We start from the raw sequence: 18,377 nt of genomic DNA, 5'->3' as shown, positions 1-18,377 counted from the left end.
TTTTAGTAGAGATGGGGTTTCACCATGTTGGTCAGGCTGGTCTTGAATTGCTGACCTCAGGTGATCCACCCACCTCAGCCTCCCAAAATACTGGCATTACAGGCATGAGCCACTGCAACCAGCCACAAGGGCTTTTATATAAGCTGATGGGGCTGGGTTACCTGTTTGTATAAGGTGAAAATTCCTGATGGCTCCACCCCATTCCCCCAGTGCGTTTGTGGGCCCTTAGTCCCCTGCTGGGGTGTTTAGGCAAGCCCCCTGTGCAAGTTCCCTTATCTGCACAAAACATCTGGTGTAACTGCTTATCAGGTGGGTCAGAGGTTCTCAGGGGACCCTTCCCTTACTGTCTGCCTAATGCAAGCTGGCTAACGCCTTTCACAGGGATTAGCAAGTGGACATCTTTGGGGGCCATTACCCTGTCGACCACTTCATCTAATCAGGTCTAGGCATTGTCATTAGTCAATATTTATGTAAATGGTGAACAAAGAAGAAATAAATGGGGTCCAGGAAATGTGGAATTAATGAATGGAATAGGCAACAATGATCCTTGTTGGAATGACTTTACCCCAGCTATGGCTACTAGCTCAAAGTGGCGCCCCAGGCCTCCAGCCTCCCTCTGCATGACCCTTTCAGGAAGTTTGTATCCTAGCCCTACCTCTGCCTGGAAGATGCCCACAAATTTCTGTCTGGTGCAGCTTGTTCTGAGCACAAATCACTTCCCCTTGAGAGGCGCCCCCACCCATGTGAGTCAGCTCAGTCAATGTCCTGGAAAGTTCTTTACACATCTCAGAATTTCACCGAAGTCTTCCCATGAGGCAAGAGCTCCACAAACTTGGCTACTGGAAAATGTCTCAAATCCCTCCCTTCCTCCATTCTCACAGCCACAGTCCCACTTAGCCAAAGTCTAACTTTGCTTACCTGGACCCGGGTGATGCCTGGACCTGCAGCAGCCTCCCTCCTGGCCTAGCAGCCTCCGGTCTTGCTCCCTTCAATGACCACAATTCGGGCCCCAAAGAGGAGTCTCTCTTTAACCAAATCTTTCCCAGTCACATCCCTACTCAGCTCCTCCCCTGGCTCCTGTGGCTCCTGGAGAAAGCCCAAGTGTGTCACCTGTCTTGGTTCCTCCAAGTGGCCAGAACCACGAGGGTTAGTGCCCTCCACGGTTTTGCACATCAAGGCCGGTCGTCCTGGGACGTTCTCTCCGTGTCCCGATACGGCCAAGTCCTCCGCATGTTTCCATGCCCCTGTCCCGGGACCATTAAGGAGCCTCCCGACCCCTGCATGCTGGGGGTCTTCGCCCCTACTTGCCCTTGCTTGTGATGCTTGTCTCAGAAACGCAGTTTCCTCTCCTGAGTCTGGGGGAAGGCGCAGGGAGAGAAGGGCCTCTCAGCCCTCCCCTCCAGCTCTCTCGGTTTCCCTAGTCCCATAGATTCTGGGCAATGCTGCCTCTCTGCTGGTGCAGGAGGGCAGTCCCTGCACCTGGTCTGTGATGCTGACAGCAGCCCTTCTGCCAGCCTGAGCTGGTCCCAGGGCAGCCTGATCCTGAGCCCCTGCCAACCCTTGCATCCCCGGGTCCTGGAGCTGCCCCAGGTGGTTTTAGGGGATGGAAGAGAATTCACCTGCTGGGCTCAGGCCCTGCTGGGCTCCCACCCCATCTCCCTGAGCCTGGCTGTGCAGGGTGAGTGTTAGCAGAACACCTGATTCTGGTGGGGGCGCCTTAGGCAAGGGAAGAGTGGGCTGAGGACACCCCCACCTCTGTCTTCCTTCCCCCAGCCCCCTCCCCGTACCGCCTGTTCCTGCTCTCAAATTTCTGGAGAGCAGTGGGGCTCCTGGCTTCTGCCCCTCACCCTGCTCAGGGGAGCCATAATGGGGATGGCTTTCTTTTAACCTGTGACATCACCTGGATGTCTGCACAGGGGAGAAGCCCTTCTCAAGTTGTTCTATAACTTGAGCCCTCAAATCCCTGAGTGGCTTCACCTATCCTCTCCTCCCCAGAGCACACCTTCCACAGCACTGGTCTCTCCTCTCAGAACTGTGTTTCCCACACAGGCTCACGGGCTCCCAAGGGGATACGGCTGCTTGCGGTGACTGAGCTCCCTCCTCACAGCAGAGCTGAGGTCTGGGCTCCAGGTCCCCAGTGGAGGTGAGGGTCCTTCAGACCATGTGTCCTAAGACTCTCACTCTGCAGATGGCTGGAGCAAGGAGCGCCTGGGTGCCTCGGTCCCACCTCCTGGGCAGAACAACCTCTCTCCACCCCTCACCTCTGTTTTCCACACCTCTTCCTTATGGCTCTATAGGAATGGTTGGGAAGGCAGGAGAGGAAACAGACTGATATGTGTTATCACTGATTTGAGTTATAATCCATGCAATATCTTGTTCTCCATGCTTACTTTAATGTGATTTTGATAGGCCACGAATTCATCCCCATAATATGTTGGTATAAACTCCATGTTTATTGAAAACAGTTCTTTTTTTTTTTTTTTTTTTTTTTTTTTTTGAGATGTAGTCTTGCTCTGTCGCCCAGGCTGGAGTGCAATGGTGCAGTCTTGGCTCACTGCAACCTCTGCTTCCCGGGTTCAAGTGATTCTCCTGCCTCAGCCTCCCGTGTAGCTGGGATTACAGGCACGTGCCACCATGCCTGGCTAAGTGGTTTTTTTTTTTTTTGTATTTTCAGTAGAGACAGGGTTTCACCCATGTGGGCCAGGCTGGTCTCAAACCCCTGACCTTGTGATCCACCCACCTCGGACTCCCAAAGTGCTGGGATTGCAGGCGTGAGCCACTGCGCCCTGCCTGAAAAGAGTTTGTTTTTTAAAAAGATGTTTTATTACAGAATAAGCTGTTTCAAATTTATTCACTTATTAACCATTTTAATTGCTCTTCATTCCTATGTGTTCATATAATTTTCTCTACAGTATCATTTTTCTTTAGCCTGAAGACTTCATTTCCTATAGTGTTAGCATGCTGGTGATGAATTCTCTCAGCTGTGGTTTTGAAACATTTTCATTTACTTTCACTTTGGAATAATCCTTTTTTTTTTTTTTTTTTTGAGACAGAGTCTCCCTCTGTTATCCAGGCTGGAGTATAGTGGCCCCAACTTGGCTCACTGTGACCTTTGCCTCCCAGGCTCAAGCAATCCTCCCACCTCAGTACCCCCGAGTAGCTGGGACTACAGGTGCATGTCTGGCTAATTTTTGTACTTTTAGCAGAGATGGGGGTTCACCGTGTTGCTCAGGTTGGTATTGAACTCCTGGACTCAAGCAATCTGCCCACCTTGGCCTCCCAAAGAACTGAGATTCAGGTGTGAACCAGGGATGATATTTTTAATGAAATTGGGTCTAGGTTAACATTTTTTCCCTTTTGTATTTAAAATCCCTTGACTTGCAAAATTTATGGGCATTCTACTGTAGTTTTCTGGGTTTTTTTGTTTGTTTGTTTGTTTGGACAGAGTCTCACTCTGTCACCCAAGCTGGAGTGCAGTGGCTTCATCTCAGCTCATTGCAGCCTCTGCCTACCAGGTTCAAACGATTCTCCTCTCTCAGCCTCCTGAGTAGCTGGGATTACAGGTGCCCGCCATGACACCCAGCTAATTTTTTGTATTTTTTTTCTTTTTTCTTTTTTTTTGAGATGGAGTCTCGCTCTGTTGCCCAGGCTGGAGTGCAGTGGTGTGATCTTGGCTCACTGCAAGCTCCGCCTCCCAGGTTCACACCATTCTCCTGTCTCAGCCTCCTGAGTAGCTGGGACTACAGGTGCCCGCCACCACGCCCGGCTAATTCTTTTCTATTTTTAGTAGAGACAGGGTTTCACCATGTTAGCCAGGATGGTCTTGATCTCCTGACCTCGTGATCTGCCTGCCTCAGCTTCCCAAAGTGCTGGGATTCAGGCGTTAGCCACTGCGCCTGGCCATTTTTTTGCATTTTTAATGGAGACAGGGTTTCACCATGTTGGCCAGGCTGGTCTTAAACTCCTGACCTCAGGTGAACTGCCCACCTCGGCCTCCTAAGGTGCTGGGATTACAGGTGTGAGCTACTGGGCCCAGCCTAATTTTAATTTTTACTTCTTGGTTGGAAGTTTGCATTTTTCACTGACTAATTTTAATATTTTCTGTTTGTCACTGAGTTTTAATTATTTGATTATTATGTCCCTTTCTGTGTGGAGAGCAGGAGTGTGTGTGATAGAAAAAGACAGAGAAGAGAAAGAGAGAGAGTGATATCTTGTTTCAAGTAGGTTGAGTATCTTGGATCTGTAAATTTACAGTTCTGGTCAAATTTGGACAATTGAAAGTGATATTTATGTAATTTTTTTCTGATTTTCTTCTCTCTATATACTGGACATTGTGATTTTTATGTGATTGGCTGCTTGATTTTGTTATATTCCATTAAACAGCATTGGTGTTTCTTCTTGAAAGTCACTTGCATTTAGGTTGACTTCTTTCTTTCTTTCTTTCTTTCTTTCTTTCTTTCTTTCTTTCTTTCTTTCTTTCTTTCTTTTTCTTGAGATGGATTCTTGCTCTGTCACCCAGCCTGGAGTGCACTGGTGCTGTCTCAGCTCACTGCAACCTCCGCTTCCTGGGTTCAAGCGATTCTCCTGCCTCGGCCTCCCAAGTAGCTGGGATTACAGGTGCCCGACACCATATCCAGCTGATTTTTTTGTATATTTAGTAGAGATGGGGTTTCACCATGTCGGCAAGGCTGGTCTCGAACTGCTAACCTTAGGTGATCTTCCCGCCTTGGCATCCCAAAGTGCTGGGACTACAGGCGTGAGCCACTATGCCGGCCTAGGTTGGCCTTTTTAAGGCTCTTTACCTTTCACCCTCTCCTGTGATGGACCTAGTGTTCTCTTTATTCCAGGGCTATTTTTATCTTCTTGGCTCTTCTTTTCCATCCACAGTAGGGGATCATTTCATGGGTAACTCATGTTTTGGGGAGCAAGAGTCCTGCTGTTCTGTAAATAACAGGAGAGTAAAAGAAAAGTTAACAGATGGGGGAAAATATCTGAAATGCACATATGTAACAGGTGTCAGATCACAGACAACTTAGGGGTTTGACATAAGGAGTTGAATCTTATTTTGGAAAACTAATGCTTGAAGTGAGTGTCATATCACACTCACACACCAGTAAGTCACTATTATATCTGACAATAAAGTGTTGCACTTGCAAAATTTTTCCTTCACTAGAAATTAGGGTGAATCCAAGTCTATCCTCTAGTGATATTTCACTCTTCTTGCCCTGCAACGTGTTATTCTGACTTGAAAAGGAAAGGACGGAGGCCCAGCTAAGAGCCCCTGAAATATACACGACCCCAATCCAGACAAAGCAAAGATGAATGACCTGAAAAGCCCCCAGGAGCGCATTTTCTTATGTGGACATCACATGCTTAATGTGCCTGGGTGGAAGTCATTTGGGAATAACGCTGTAAAGAGTGTGAATATTGCCGGGCGCGTTGGCTCACGCCTGTAATCCCAGCACTTCGAGAGGCCAAGGCGGGCGGATCACGAGGTCAGGAGATCGAGACCATCCTGGCCAACACGGTGAAACCCCATCTCTAGTAAGAAAAAAAAAATACAAAACATTAGCCGAGTGTGGTGGCGGGCACCTGTAGTCCCAGCTACTCGGGAGGCTGAGGCAGGAGAATGGCGTGAACCCGGGAGGCGGAGCTTGCAGTGAGCCGAGATCGCACCACTGCACTCCAGCCTGGCGACAGAGCGAGTCTCTGTCAAAAAAAAAAAAAGAGTGTGAATATTTTGAAGGGCTTTATATCTTGGGGAGGGTGGGTTTGGGATGAGAGAAGTGGAGTGACGATGGTGACTTCGTTTTTGCTTTAATGTGATTCCCCCGGAGGAGATCTTGTTCTAATGTGTGGCGAAAAGTAGCCTTTTTAGAGAGTACTGTCTGCAAACGTGTCCAGAGCCTGGGACTCGTTCCCTTGGGAGCCTCCCTTCTGCAGGACCATGGACAGCGCGGGCTCTGGGGCCCGAGGCTCCGCGGTGCCGCCTGCTCTGAAGGTGGAGCGCCCCCTGGGGGCGGCGTCCTGAACTGCAGCACAGCCCGAGGTGGGAGGAACCCAGGACCAGGTCCGGAGCTCAAAGGACACAAAGACGCTGGTCAGGGAAGGTCCAGATCGCCCTTCTTCCGACAAAACCTCCTGGGCTCCCTCGGGGTCTCAGCTGCAGCCACTCGTGGGCTCTCCATCCTCTCCAGGACCCTGGCCCTCGCCCCTCCCTCCTCAGGACGCGGTCCTCACGCCGCACCTGCGCCCCCCGGGGCGAGATCCTGCCCCGACCCCTGTCAGACACCCCCGCCTCTCCCTCCCCCACCTCCCACCGTCCCCGCCCTTCCTTCCAGCGCCCACTTGTGCCCTCGTGCAGCTCCGGGGTCTGGAGCCTGGGTGGGGCTTCCTAAACCCCTCCGTGTGGAATTATGGAGGAAGAGCAGGCGCCTAGCCCCTGCTGAATGAAGGAGAGGCGGGTGCGGGGGTGGGAGGCTGGTATTGAGGGAGCTGGTTTTGGAGGGAAGCAGCTCAGGGAAAACCCGAACCTTCTCAGGCCAGAAAACAGACTTGAGGCTGCCCAGAAACCAGTCCCGGGGCCCCAGGCAGCCTCTCCAGTCCTGTCTGACCAAGGCTGGGAGGGCGGCTTGGGTAGGAAGGGCTGGGAGCAAGTCGGGGCGTCGGGGGCTCTGGCCTCGCTGGAGAAGGGGACGTGGTGAGGAGGCCACAGAAACCACAGGAACTCAGAAAAGTGAAGAGGGGGGAATGGGAGGGGGCAGCGATGTGGAGAAACCCGCGGGAGGAGGAAGACGGTGCCGCTCTCCTGGCTCCTGTCGGCTGATCCCATGGGTGTGAAATGTTCAAAGGCAGAGGTGGGGCTGGGCCCAGGCTGGGGGCCCTAGAGATCATCAGCTCCTTAGGGACCCACCTCCACCAGGACCCAGGCACCTTTCCTCCCCTCACTCCTCCCTGGGAGAGGCCCTTTTCTGAGCTCTGTGGAGAGGAAGGTGTGATGTGTCCCACCACAAGAGCTCCCCTGCGGGAAGGAGGCTGGTGTCCTCAGAGAAGGCCCAGATTAGGTCACAGGGAAGCAGGGATCAAAGGGAAGGTGAAGCTGGGCTTGGTGGCTCACGCCTGTAATCCCAGCACTTTGAGAGGCCGAGGTGAGAGGGTCACCTGAGATCACGAGTTCGAAACCAGCCTGGCCAACACGGTGAAACCCTGTCTCTACTGAAAATACAAAAATAAGCTGGGCATGGTGGCAGGCGCCTGTAATCCCAGCTACTCGGGAGGCTGACGCAGAATCGTTTGAACCCGAGAGGCAGAGGTTGCAGTGAGCTGAGATCATGCCAGTGCACTCTAGCCTGGGTGACAGAGCACAACCCAGTCTCAAAAAAAAAAAAAGATAAAAATAAAATTAAAAATATGAAAATTAGCTAGGCGTGGTGGCAGGCGCCTGTAGTCCCAGCTACTCGTGAGCCTGCACCAAGAGAATCGCTTGAATCAGACAGGGAGCGGCTGCAGCGAGCCAAGATCATGCCACTGCACTCCAGCCTGGGCAACAGAGCAACACTCTCTCTCAAAAAAAAAAAAAAAAAAATGGGGAGAGGTGGATATTAGGGTCTGAATTGTGTCCCCCCTCCCCCCACCAAATTTCTGTGTTGAAGTCCCAACCTCCAGTACCTAAGAATGTGGCTGTACATGCAGACAGTCTTTAAAGAGATACAGTTGTTCCACTGTATTAGTTGGGGATTGGTTCCAGGATCCCCACCCCTTGGATACCAAAATCTACAATGCTCAGCTGCCTTATACAGTAGTGTTTGCGTGGGACCTCTGCACATCCTCCCATCTCCAGGTTACTTATCACACCTAATACAGTGTAATGCGGTGTAAATAGTTGTTATGCTGTATTTTTAATTCATGCTGTTTTTTATGGTTATGTTGGCTTTTGTTGGTTTTGTATTTAAATGCCGTGATGGGCAGGTGGTTGAATTCCGGGATGTGGGACCTGTGCATACTGAGGGCCGGCTGAAATGAGGTCACTCATTTGGACTAGAGTGGGCCTAGTCCAATATGACTTGAGTTCTTGTAAGTTCTTATAAGAGCAGGAGTTGAGGAAACAGACACCCACAGGGGAACAGCTGTGTGAGAACACAGGGAGAAGTGGCATCTGCAAGCCAGGCAGAAGCCTCTGAAGGAACCACATCTTGGTTTTGGACGTCTAGTCCCAGAACTGTGAGGAAGTCAATGTTGTTGTTTCAGCCCCTCTGTCTGGGGCACGCTGTTACAGCAGCTCAAGCGACTGATACAGTGGATGAGGCCGTGGAGCACACCTGTAATCCCAGCACTTTGGGAGGCCGAGGCGGGAGGATCACTGGAGCCCAGGAGTTCAAGACCAGCCTGGCCAACATGGTGAAACTCTGTCTCAGCAAGGTGCAGTGGCTCACGCCTGTAATCCCAGCTCTTTGGGAGGCTGAGGCGGGTGGATCACCTGAGGTCAGGAGTTCGAGACCAGCCTGAACAACATGAAGAAACCCCATCTTTTCTAAAAATACAAAATCAGCCAGGCATGGTGGCGCATGTCTGTAGTCCCAGCTACTTGGGAGGCTGAGGCAGGAGAATCGCTTGAACCCCGGAGGTGGAGGTTGCAGTGAGCCAAGATCATGCTACTGCACTCCAGCCTGGGCAACAAGAGGGAAACTCCATCTCAAAAAACAAAAACAAACAAACAAACAAACACCTCTGTCTCTACAAAAATTATCAAAAAAAAAAATCAAAAATTATCTGGGCGTGGTGGTGTGTGCCTATAGTCCCGGCTAGTTGGGAGGCTGAGGTGGGAGGATCGCTTGAGCCCAGAAGATGGAGGCTGCACTGAGCCATGATCACACCACTGCACTCCAGCCTGGGCAACAGAGCAAGACCTTGTCTCAAAAACAAAAAACAAAAATGCCATGGATGAAAGAACCAGGACAGGGCAGAGGCTGGGTCATCTCCTCCAGGAGGCCTCTCCTGACTTCCCTCCACCAGGAAGAGCTGACCACTCCTTCCCCAGGTCCCATCCTGAATGTCTGTCCAGCATCCAGTTCATTTAGGGGACCTTCTGTACTTTGTTTCTAAGAATCTTCATTTGCTAACCTGGGGCCCTGGAGCTGACTCACCATGGAGGATTCACCTCCAAGTCCCCCTAAAGCTCAGTGCTTGATACCCAAGGTATGTGGAGGTTGAAGGATGAGTTCTGTGTTTCGGTGTGACCCAAACAGAGTCATTTCAGGAAGAGCTCAGTGAGGGGAAAACATCTTGTAGAGTTTACTCCATTCATTGCAAATTACCCCTTCCCTAGTCTGTTCCCCCCACTCTGCCCCTCACTCCCGCCTTCCTCAAACTCTTCCCATCAGCATTAGCTTTGGACATATGTGTTCTAATCCCAATGGGTGTCCCAATTGAATGACAGAGGAGGAAGGGAGACTGGGAAGTGGACTAGGGCCTGGTTGGGGCAGGAGACTGCTTCTGGGGACCAAGGGTCAGTGAGCTCACCAGGAAGCATGAAGAGGTGGAGCTGACACCACCCTACGGTGGCCAGATTTAGAAAAAAAGAAATTCAACATGCTCAGTTAAATTTGAATTTTAGGCCAGGTGCGGTGGTTCACACCTGTAATCTCAGCACTTTGGGAGGTCAAGGCAGGTGGATCATTTGAGGTCAGGAGTTCAAAACCAGCCCTGCCAACATGGTGAAACCCCACCTCTACTAAAAATACAAAAATTAGCTTGGCGTGGTGGCGCGTGCCTGTAAGCCCAGACTCAGGAGGCTGAGGCAGGAGAATCACTTCAGCCTGGGAGGTGGAGGTTGCAGTAAGCAGAGATTGCACCACTGCACTGCAGCCTGGGTGACAGAGTGAGACTCTGTCTCAAAATATAATTAATTAATTAATTAATTTGAATTTCAGATAAATTTATTTTGCTTTCTGGTATAAGTATATCCCATGCAGCATTTCGGACATACTTATACCAAAAAACATAAAATAAAATACTTTATATTGTCTGTGAAAGCTTTAACCAGGCATCCTGCATTTTACCTGACAAGACCAGCCCCCTCCAGTAACGGTCCCTTCCCCTGTACCCACCACCTCCACCACCAGTGGCCCAGATAAGGGTAGCTCACTGTGGACTTCTCACTTCTGCTTTTCCGATGACCCAGGGCCCAGAGGGAGAGCCCCCACCCCACTACCCCACCCCCAGCCAGGCCCCCAGGATAGACACAAGCCTGCCCTCTCCTCCTACACAGGGAGCTCTGGAAGGACCAGCTCAACAAGCCCAAGGCCAGGCTGGGCCCCCAGGAGACCCAGAGGACAACTGGGCAAGGTGGGCCGGAGAGTGTGGGGGAAGGCAAAGGAGTTCTGTGAGCTCAGCGTCTGAAGCTCATTTCATGCATCAGGCCCCAGGGCTCAGCTTCCGCCTTCGGCTTCCCCTTCTGCCAAGAGCCCTGAGCCACTCACAGCACGACCAGAGAACAGGCCTGTCTCAGGCAGGCCCTGCGCCTCCTATGCGGAGATGCTACTGCCACTGCTGCTGTCCTCGCTGCTGGGCGGTGAGTGGGCCAAGGGCCGGAAAGGACCTGGGGCGGAGCTAGGGCTGGGGTTGCAGGTTGAGCCTCTGTCTCCCCACAGGGTCCCAGGCTATGGATGGGAGATTCTGGATACGAGTGCAGGAGTCAGTGATGGTGCCGGAGGGCCTGTGCATCTCTGTGCCCTGCTCTTTCTCCTACCCCCGACAGGACTGGACAGGGTCTACCCCAGCTTATGGCTACTGGTTCAAAGCAGTGACTGAGACAACCAAGGGTGCTCCTGTGGCCACAAACCACCAGAGTCGAGAGGTGGAAATGAGCACCCGGGGCCGATTCCAGCTCACTGGGGATCCCGCCAAGGGGAACTGCTCCTTGGTGATCAGAGACGCGCAGATGCAGGATGAGTCACAGTACTTCTTTCGGGTGGAGAGAGGAAGCTATGTGAGATATAATTTCATGAACGATGGGTTCTTTCTAAAAGTAACAGGTATGGAATGGGGTGGGAACCCCTGCCTCTCACACTGGGGAGGGACCCTGGGGACAGCCTATGGGCTGAGCAGAGAGGGCTCTCAGGGACCCCTGCAGCACAAGAATCTCCCACCACGGTCTCTGTCCCAGCCCTGACTCAGAAGCCTGATGTCTACATCCCCGAGACCCTGGAGCCCGGGCAGCCGGTGACGGTCATCTGTGTGTTTAACTGGGCCTTTGAGGAATGTCCACCCCCTTCTTTCTCCTGGACGGGGGCTGCCCTCTCCTCCCAAGGAACCAAACCAACGACCTCCCACTTCTCAGTGCTCAGCTTCACGCCCAGACCCCAGGACCACAACACCGACCTCACCTGCCATGTGGACTTCTCCAGAAAGGGTGTGAGCGCACAGAGGACCGTCCGACTCCGTGTGGCCTGTGAGTGTGGCCTGGGAGGGTGGGGTGTGCAGACAGCCCCGGTGGGTGGGGAGGTGGAGGAGCCCAGTGGGACAGTGAGCGGCTCCCAGCTCAGGAGCATCCAGGGAGAGGAAGCTGTGGGGTCCCAGGATGCCGCCGCAGCCCTGGGAGGGGGATGGGAATGGCGTCTGGTCCACACACGTGAGCCCTGGCGCTGGTTGTCACTTGTCTTCCCGGGATAGTCCCACTTTCTTTTCCCTGAGGGAGTTTTTTCCAGGTGTGAGGAATAAATTGTCCCTCCCTGAAGCCAGCTCACAATCTTGTTGCAGATGCCCCCAGAGACCTTGTTATCAGCATTTCACGTGACAACACGCCAGGTACTGAGGGCCGTCGGGCTGGGGCTGGGCCAGTTGTCTTTAGATGAAAAGGCTTCAGGGGATGAGGGGATGTGCTCCTCCCTGTACCCCTTCTCTCTTTCTCCCTCCCTTTCTCTCTTTTTTTTTTTTCCTCCCACTCCAGCCCTGGAGCCCCAGCCCCAGGGAAATGTCCCATACCTGGAAGCCCAAAAAGGCCAGTTCCTGCGGCTCCTCTGTGCTGCTGACAGCCAGCCCCCTGCCACACTGAGCTGGGTCCTGCAGAACAGAGTCCTCTCCTCGTCCCATCCCTGGGGCCCTAGACCCCTGGGGCTGGAGCTGCCCGGGGTGAAGGCTGGGGATTCAGGGCGCTACACCTGCCGAGCGGAGAACAGGCTTGGCTCCCAGCAGCGAGCCCTGGACCTCTCTGTGCAGTGTGAGTGTGCCCAGCAGGGGCCTGGAGTCCATTGGGAGGGCAGAGGGATACAGGGGCTGGGCTCAGGGTCCCAGAGCTGAGGGGGCCTGGAGCCCCAGGCCTCGGAGACCGACCTTCTTACCTGTGTAGACCCTCATGCAGTTTGTGTCTGGGACTCAGTGGGTGATTCTGCCCTGCCCTTCTATCCCACCCACTTCCCCCACCTCAGTGTCCAGGATGGTTCCCTTTACCCAGAGGGAAGCCCCTGGTCCGTCTAGAGCCGGTCCCCTGTCTCCATTTCAGATCCTCCAGAGAACCTGAGAGTGATGGTTTCCCAAGCAAACAGGACAGGTAGGAAAGGGGACAGAGGAGCCAAGGCCTCTCAGTGCCGAATTGGGGGCCCAGGAGTCTGGAGGGTCCCCACGCAGGAGGGTCCCTGAGCCCTGAGCTGCTCATCGATTCTGCCTCTTCCTTCCCTAGTCCTGGAAAACCTTGGGAACGGCACGTCTCTCCCAGTACTGGAGGGCCAAAGCCTGTGCCTGGTCTGTGTCACACACAGCAGCCCCCCAGCCAGGCTGAGCTGGACCCAGAGGGGACAGGTTCTGAGCCCCTCCCAGCCCTCAGACCCCGGGGTCCTGGAGCTGCCTCGGGTTCAAGTGGAGCACGAAGGAGAGTTCACCTGCCACGCTCGGCACCCACTGGGCTCCCAGCACGTCTCTCTCAGCCTCTCCGTGCACTGTGAGTGGGGGAAAGGGGACACCTGGGTCCCAGGAAGGGGACCCTGCTGAGTCCTGTCCTCCCTCCCCTCAGACTCCCCGAAGCTGCTGGGCCCCTCCTGCTCCTGGGAGGCTGAGGGTCTGCACTGCAGCTGCTCCTCCCAGGCCAGCCCGGCCCCCTCTCTGCGCTGGTGGCTTGGGGAGGAGCTGCTGGAGGGGAACAGCAGCCAGGACTCCTTCGAGGTCACCCCCAGCTCAGCCGGGCCCTGGGCCAACAGCTCCCTGAGCCTCCATGGAGGGCTCAGCTCCGGCCTCAGGCTCCGCTGTGAGGCCTGGAACGTCCATGGGGCCCAGAGTGGATCCATCCTGCAGCTGCCAGGTTAGGGGGCCGCCTGGATGCCAAGGTTCTTGGAGGAGAAGCTGACTGGGGCAAAGAGTAGGGTCCTGTGGTTGGAGCAGGAGCTTGGAGGGACACAGCAGACCCGTGGCATCTGTATGTAGACAGGAAAACACAATGGGAAGTCCTAACACCTGGGCCGGGGTGTGGCAGGGTTTCCTAAAAGTAAACAGAGGGGTTGCAGATACAATGTCCGCCATGGGAACCGGAAGCCTTAATGCCGAGTGATGAGCGGGCTTCGTGAGCCCTGCGTGGATGGGAAATGCTCACCTTGCCCTCTCCGTGTGCAGATAAGAAGGGACTCATCTCAACGGCATTCTCCAACGGAGCGTTTCTGGGAATCGGCATCACGGCTCTTCTTTTCCTCTGCCTGGCCCTGATCATGTAGGTTAAGAGGAGGCGTGGCGGGGTCTGGGGCCTGGACCCAGGAAGAGGGGAGGTGTTGCAGGCCGAAAGAGTGAAGGTCGTGATCAACGCAGTATACCTCTGGAGGTTACATGAGTAAACAGCAAACTGTTCTCATAAATGCAGAATGTTGTCCAACTGACAAACTGCGTCTGCTTCCCAGAGGGAATGCTGAGGGCAGTCACGCCCCAAGCGAAGTGTTTCTTGTAATTAGGCACAGCTGAAGCTTGTTAGTAATAATATGAACCTGTGATCAATTAAACAGCTGACCAATTGTTACCTCCTGCTCTCTGCTCTTTCTACCCAATAAATACAAAGGGCTGTAGAGGCTCAGACAGCTGCCCTGGCTCACTAGTAGCAGGGAACCCTCTTCTTCTTCCCCTGACCCCTTCCTTTAAAATAATTTCTTTTGTCTTAAGTTTTCATTTCTACGTTTGTCCTCCTTCTTTCAGTCTCATAATGACGGTCTCAAGTGGTAACAGTAGTAACTGTCATAGTGACGGTCTCAGGTAGTAAACGTGGCAGTCTGTCACAGGGAGGTGCAGCAGGGCACAAACAGGTGGGTTCATTTCCTCAGCATGAAGATTCTACCGAAGAGACGGACTCAGACAGAAACCCCGAGGCCCAGGTTCTCCCGGCACAGCACGATCCTGGATTACATCAATGTGGTCCCGACGGCTGGCCCCCTGGTGAGTGTCTGGGCCATGCTTCCACTTTTTCTCTTCTCTAAAGCTGACATCCCACTTTCTGACTTTTGCACCCCTTGTCTTAGCGACATCAAGGTGGGAAAAGCACCGATAGTTCTGAATTCAAATCCTGCCTGGCACTTACTAGCTATGAGACCTCAGCCACGTCACTCACCCCCTCTGAGCCTTCATTTCTTCCTCTGTCTCCTTTGAGAGTTGGTTTGAGGATTAGAATACATGCACTTTCTCAATCTGTAGCCATTGTTCCATTATTACTGCCACCATTGACATGACTACACTTAACTGCTTAACAATTATGTGTATCATCGGGAGGCTGGGCATCCTAGGGATTCAGCACAGGGGGTCTGAAATCAGCCTGCATGGGTTCAAATCCTGCTGTCATCACTGTGTCATGAAACAAGTGTCTTAACTTCTCTGTGCCTCAATTTCTTTAGCTGTAACATGGAGACAATACTAGCGGCCACCTCCTAGGATGATGCTGGGTGTTAAATATATTGTACTTGCATAATAAAATATTCAGAATATCACCTGGCCCCTGGGTAATACTCTGTAAATTCTGGAAATTATTAAGAGATAACATCTTATGCTGATGACTGCAAAATTGTATCTCGTGGCTCCTTCCCTGAAGACTGTCTATGCAACATCTCCATGTGGGTGTCTAATCAGCACTTCAAACTTAGCCTGTCCAAAACCAACTTAAGATAATTCCCCAGCCTGAGCAACATAGTGAGACCTCTTCTCTACAAAAAAAATAAAAAATTAGCCGGGTGTGGTGGTGCATGCCCATTGTCCCAGCTACTTGGGAGGCTGAGGTGGGAGGATCTCTTGAGCCTGGGAGTTGGAGGCTACAGTGAGCCATGATGACACCATGCACTCCAGCCTGGGTGACAGAGTGAGACCCTGTCTCAAAAAAAAAAAGGCCACGCCTGCTGGCTCACACCTGTAATCCCAGCACTTTGGGAGGCCGAGGTGGGTGGATCGCCTGAGGTCAAAATTTTAAGAGCAGCGTGTTCAACATGGTGAAACCCCATCTCTACTAAACATACAAAAAATTACCTGGGCATGGTGATGGGTGCCTGTAATCACAGCTACTCGGGAGGCTGAGGCAGGAGAATTACTTGAACCCAGGAGGTGGAGGTTGCAGTGAGATCATGCCACTGCACTCCAGCCTGGGCAACAAGAGCGAAACTTCATCTAAAAAAAAAAAAAGACTAATTCCACCATTTATGCTCCATCTCTATCCCCATCTTAGCAAATAACACCACATTTTCCCAGCCAAGTCTAAAGCTTTAGAATCATATTTCACTCCTCTCTTCTCTGTCACCCCACAACCAATCCATCAGCAAATTCCCTTCAAAATACAACCAAGCCAGTTCTCCCTACTCTTCCCTCACTACTACAAGCCATGCATCAACACCCCCCACCCCACCCCGGGCACCACTGGCCCCTTCTGCATGCCTTCTCTGCTTCCGTTCTCACCCCCTCCAGTCTTTCTCTCCGTGCATGCATGCTATTCTTTATTTTATTTATTTTTATTTTATTTTATTTTTTGAGATGGGATTTCACTGTTGTTGTCTAGGCTGGAGTGCAGTGGCAAGGTCTCGGCTCACTGCAACCTCCACCTCCTGGTTCAAGCGATTCATCTGCCTCAGCCTCCTGAGTAGCTGGGATTACAGGCATCCACCACCATGCCCCCCTAATTTTTGTATTTTTAGTAGAGACGGGGTTTCACCATGTTGATCAGGCTGGTCTCAAACTCCTGACCTCAGGTGATCCACCCGCCTCAGCCTCCCAAAGTGCTGGGATTACAGGTGTGAACCACCGTACCCGGCTATCAATTATTTTTTTGAAACAGATTTTGTCTCTGTTGTCCGGGCTGGAGTGCAGTGGCGCAGTCTCAGCGCACTACAACCTCCACCTCTCAGGTTCAAGTGATTTTCCTGCCTCAGCCTCCTGAGTAGCTGGGACCACAGGCATGTGTCACCACGCCCGGCTAATTTTTGTATTTGTGGTAGAGACAGGGTTTCGCTATGTTGGCCAGGCCGGTCTTGAAATTCCCTGGATGACCTATTAAACAGTCATCCCACCCTCCCTTTCGCTGCCTTCTAAAGGTGCTCAAATTTCTTGATGGCATTTGTCACTTACCAGTCATTGTACTTTTGCTAATTATTGTCTGTTCCTCCTTCCAAGATGGAATGCAAGCTCAGCAAGGCAAGGGCAGGGACTTAGTTTCACTCTGTGCTGTAAATCAGTGCCCGACGCGTGGTAAGTGCTCAAATATTTGCTGAATGAATGAATGAAGGATGGTGGTTCTTCCCTCAGGCTCAGAAGCGGAATCAGAAAGCCACACCAAACAGTCCTCGGACCCCTCTTCCACCAGGTGCTCCCTCCCCAGAATCAAAGAAGAACCAGAAAAAGCAGTATCAGTTGCCCAGTTTCCCAGAACCCAAATCATCCACTCAAGCCCCAGAATCCCAGGAGAGCCAAGAGGAGCTCCATTATGCCACGCTCAACTTCCCAGGCGTCAGACCCAGGCCTGAGGCCCGGATGCCCAAGGGCACCCAGGCGGATTATGCAGAAGTCAAGTTCCAATGAGGGTCTCTTAGGCTTTAGGACTGGGACTTCGGCTAGGGAGGAAGGTAGAGTAAGAGGTTGAAGATAACAGAGTGCAAAGTTTCCTTCTCTCCCTCTCTCTCTCTCTTTCTCTCTCTCTCTCTCTTTCTCTCTCTTTTAAAAAAACATCTGGCCAGGGCACAGTGGCTCACGCCTGTAATCCCAGCACTTTGGGAGGTTGAGGTGGGCAGATCGCCTGAGGTCGGGAGTTCGAGACCAGCCTGGCCAACTTGGTGAAACCCCGTCTCTACTAAAAATACAAAAATTAGCTGGGCATGGTGGCAGGCGCCTGTAATCCTACCTACTTGGGAAGCTGAGGCAGGAGAATCACTTGAACCTGGGAGACGGAGGTTGCAGTGAGCCAAGATCACACCATTGCACGCCAGCCTGGGCAACAAAGCGAGACTCCATCTCAAAAAAAAAATCCTCCAAATGGGTTGGGTGTCTGTAATCCCAGCACTTTGGGAGGCTAAGGTGGGTGGATTGCTTGAGCCCAGGAGTTCGAGACCAGCCTGGGCAACATGGTGAAACCCCATCTCTACAAAAAATACAAAACATAGCTGGGCTTGGTGGTGTGTGCCTGTAGTCCCAGCTGTCAGACATTTAAACCAGAGCAACTCCATCTGGAATAGGAGCTGAATAAAATGAGGCTGAGACCTACTGGGCTGCATTCTCAGACAGTGGAGGCATTCTAAGTCACAGGATGAGACAGGAGGTCCGTACAAGATACAGGTCATAAAGACTTTGCTGATAAAACAGATTGCAGTAAAGAAGCCAACCAAATCCCACCAAAACCAAGTTGGCCACGAGAGTGACCTCTGGTCGTCCTCACTGCTACACTCCTGACAGCACCATGACAGTTTACAAATGCCATGGCAACATCAGGAAGTTACCCGATATGTCCCAAAAGGGGGAGGAATGAATAATCCACCCCTTGTTTAGCAAATAAGCAAGAAATAACCATAAAAGTGGGCAACCAGCAGCTCTAGGCGCTGCTCTTGTCTATGGAGTAGCCATTCTTTTGTTCCTTTACTTTCTTAATAAACTTGCTTTCACCTTACCGCCTCGTCTTGAATTATTTCTTGTGTGAGATCCAAGAACCCTCTCTTGGGGGGTCTAGATCAGGACCCCTTTCTTGTAACACAGCTACTTGGGAGGCAGACGCAGGAGGATCACTTGAACCCAGGAAGCAGAGGCTGTGGTGAGCCAAGATCACACCACTGCACTCCAGCCTGAGCAACAGAGTGAGACCCTGTCTCGAAAAAATAAAAATCCTCCATGGATAGGCCATCTCATCCCAGACCTGGGCATTCGGAACAGCCTGACAAATCTGTCCTGAATGG

The 18,377-nt window shown here is 52.2% G+C and overlaps 1 protein-coding gene and 1 long non-coding RNA gene across 17 annotated transcripts, besides 2 other annotated features; one reads left to right on the top strand and one right to left on the bottom strand.

Annotated features, from left to right (window-relative positions):
* Positions 1-9,917: 9,917 nt before the first annotated feature.
* Positions 9,918-12,391, bottom strand: SIGLEC10-AS1 (SIGLEC10 antisense RNA 1). 2 transcript variants are annotated; one of them, NR_164125.1, is made up of 3 exons: positions 11,983-12,391; positions 11,385-11,686; positions 9,918-10,983 (listed from the first exon to the last, which is right to left on the bottom strand). It is a non-coding gene; the product is annotated as an SIGLEC10 antisense RNA 1 (long non-coding RNA). The 2 variants fall into 2 exon arrangements; NR_164124.1 differs by having other exon boundaries at positions 11,385-11,592.
* Positions 10,244-10,313: an enhancer, noted in NCBI's record as "active region_15018". NCBI's record gives its function as "activates an Ori minimal core promoter by ATAC-STARR-seq in GM12878 lymphoblastoid cells {active_cell/tissue: GM12878}" and the evidence as "EXISTENCE:reporter gene assay evidence [ECO:0000049][PMID:35858748]".
* Positions 10,374-10,543: an enhancer, noted in NCBI's record as "active region_15017". NCBI's record gives its function as "activates an Ori minimal core promoter by ATAC-STARR-seq in GM12878 lymphoblastoid cells {active_cell/tissue: GM12878}" and the evidence as "EXISTENCE:reporter gene assay evidence [ECO:0000049][PMID:35858748]".
* On the top strand, positions 10,473-18,095 carry SIGLEC10 (sialic acid binding Ig like lectin 10). Of its 15 annotated transcripts, none has more exons than XM_047439602.1 (11): positions 10,473-10,570; positions 10,757-11,033; positions 11,339-11,449; positions 11,758-11,805; positions 11,948-12,217; positions 12,500-12,547; positions 12,677-12,934; positions 13,007-13,291; positions 13,600-13,693; positions 14,292-14,403; positions 16,744-18,095. In XM_047439602.1, the coding sequence occupies exons 1-11, from the start codon at positions 10,526-10,528 to the stop codon at positions 17,014-17,016; spliced, it is 1,821 nt and encodes a 606-aa protein (XP_047295558.1). In that variant the 5' UTR covers positions 10,473-10,525; the 3' UTR covers positions 17,017-18,095. The 15 variants fall into 15 exon arrangements, with proteins under 15 accessions (XP_047295558.1, XP_047295557.1, XP_047295556.1 ...); XM_047439601.1 differs by having other exon boundaries at positions 11,309-11,449; XM_047439600.1 differs by having other exon boundaries at positions 11,165-11,449.
* The last annotated feature ends 282 nt before the right edge of the window (positions 18,096-18,377 follow it).

This window comes from Homo sapiens, chromosome 19 (genome assembly GCF_000001405.40).
Source record: "Homo sapiens chromosome 19, GRCh38.p14 Primary Assembly".
In the NCBI taxonomy this organism is placed as follows: Eukaryota; Metazoa; Chordata; class Mammalia; order Primates; family Hominidae; genus Homo; species Homo sapiens.
The sequence above is the reverse complement of the archived record's forward strand: the minus strand, read 5'-3'. Positions and strand labels throughout refer to the sequence as shown.

Excerpts from the sequence above, each read along its gene's own strand:
- SIGLEC10 (NM_033130.5), top strand. The coding sequence starts at position 10,534 with ATGCTACTGCCACTGCTGCTGTCCTCGCTGCTGGGCG. Across the intron at positions 11,450-11,757 it reads CGTCCGACTCCGTGTGGCCT|ATGCCCCCAGAGACCTTGTT; the intron begins GTGAGTGTGGCC and ends ATCTTGTTGCAG. Across the intron at positions 13,694-14,291 it reads CTCTGCCTGGCCCTGATCAT|CATGAAGATTCTACCGAAGA; the intron begins GTAGGTTAAGAG and ends TCATTTCCTCAG.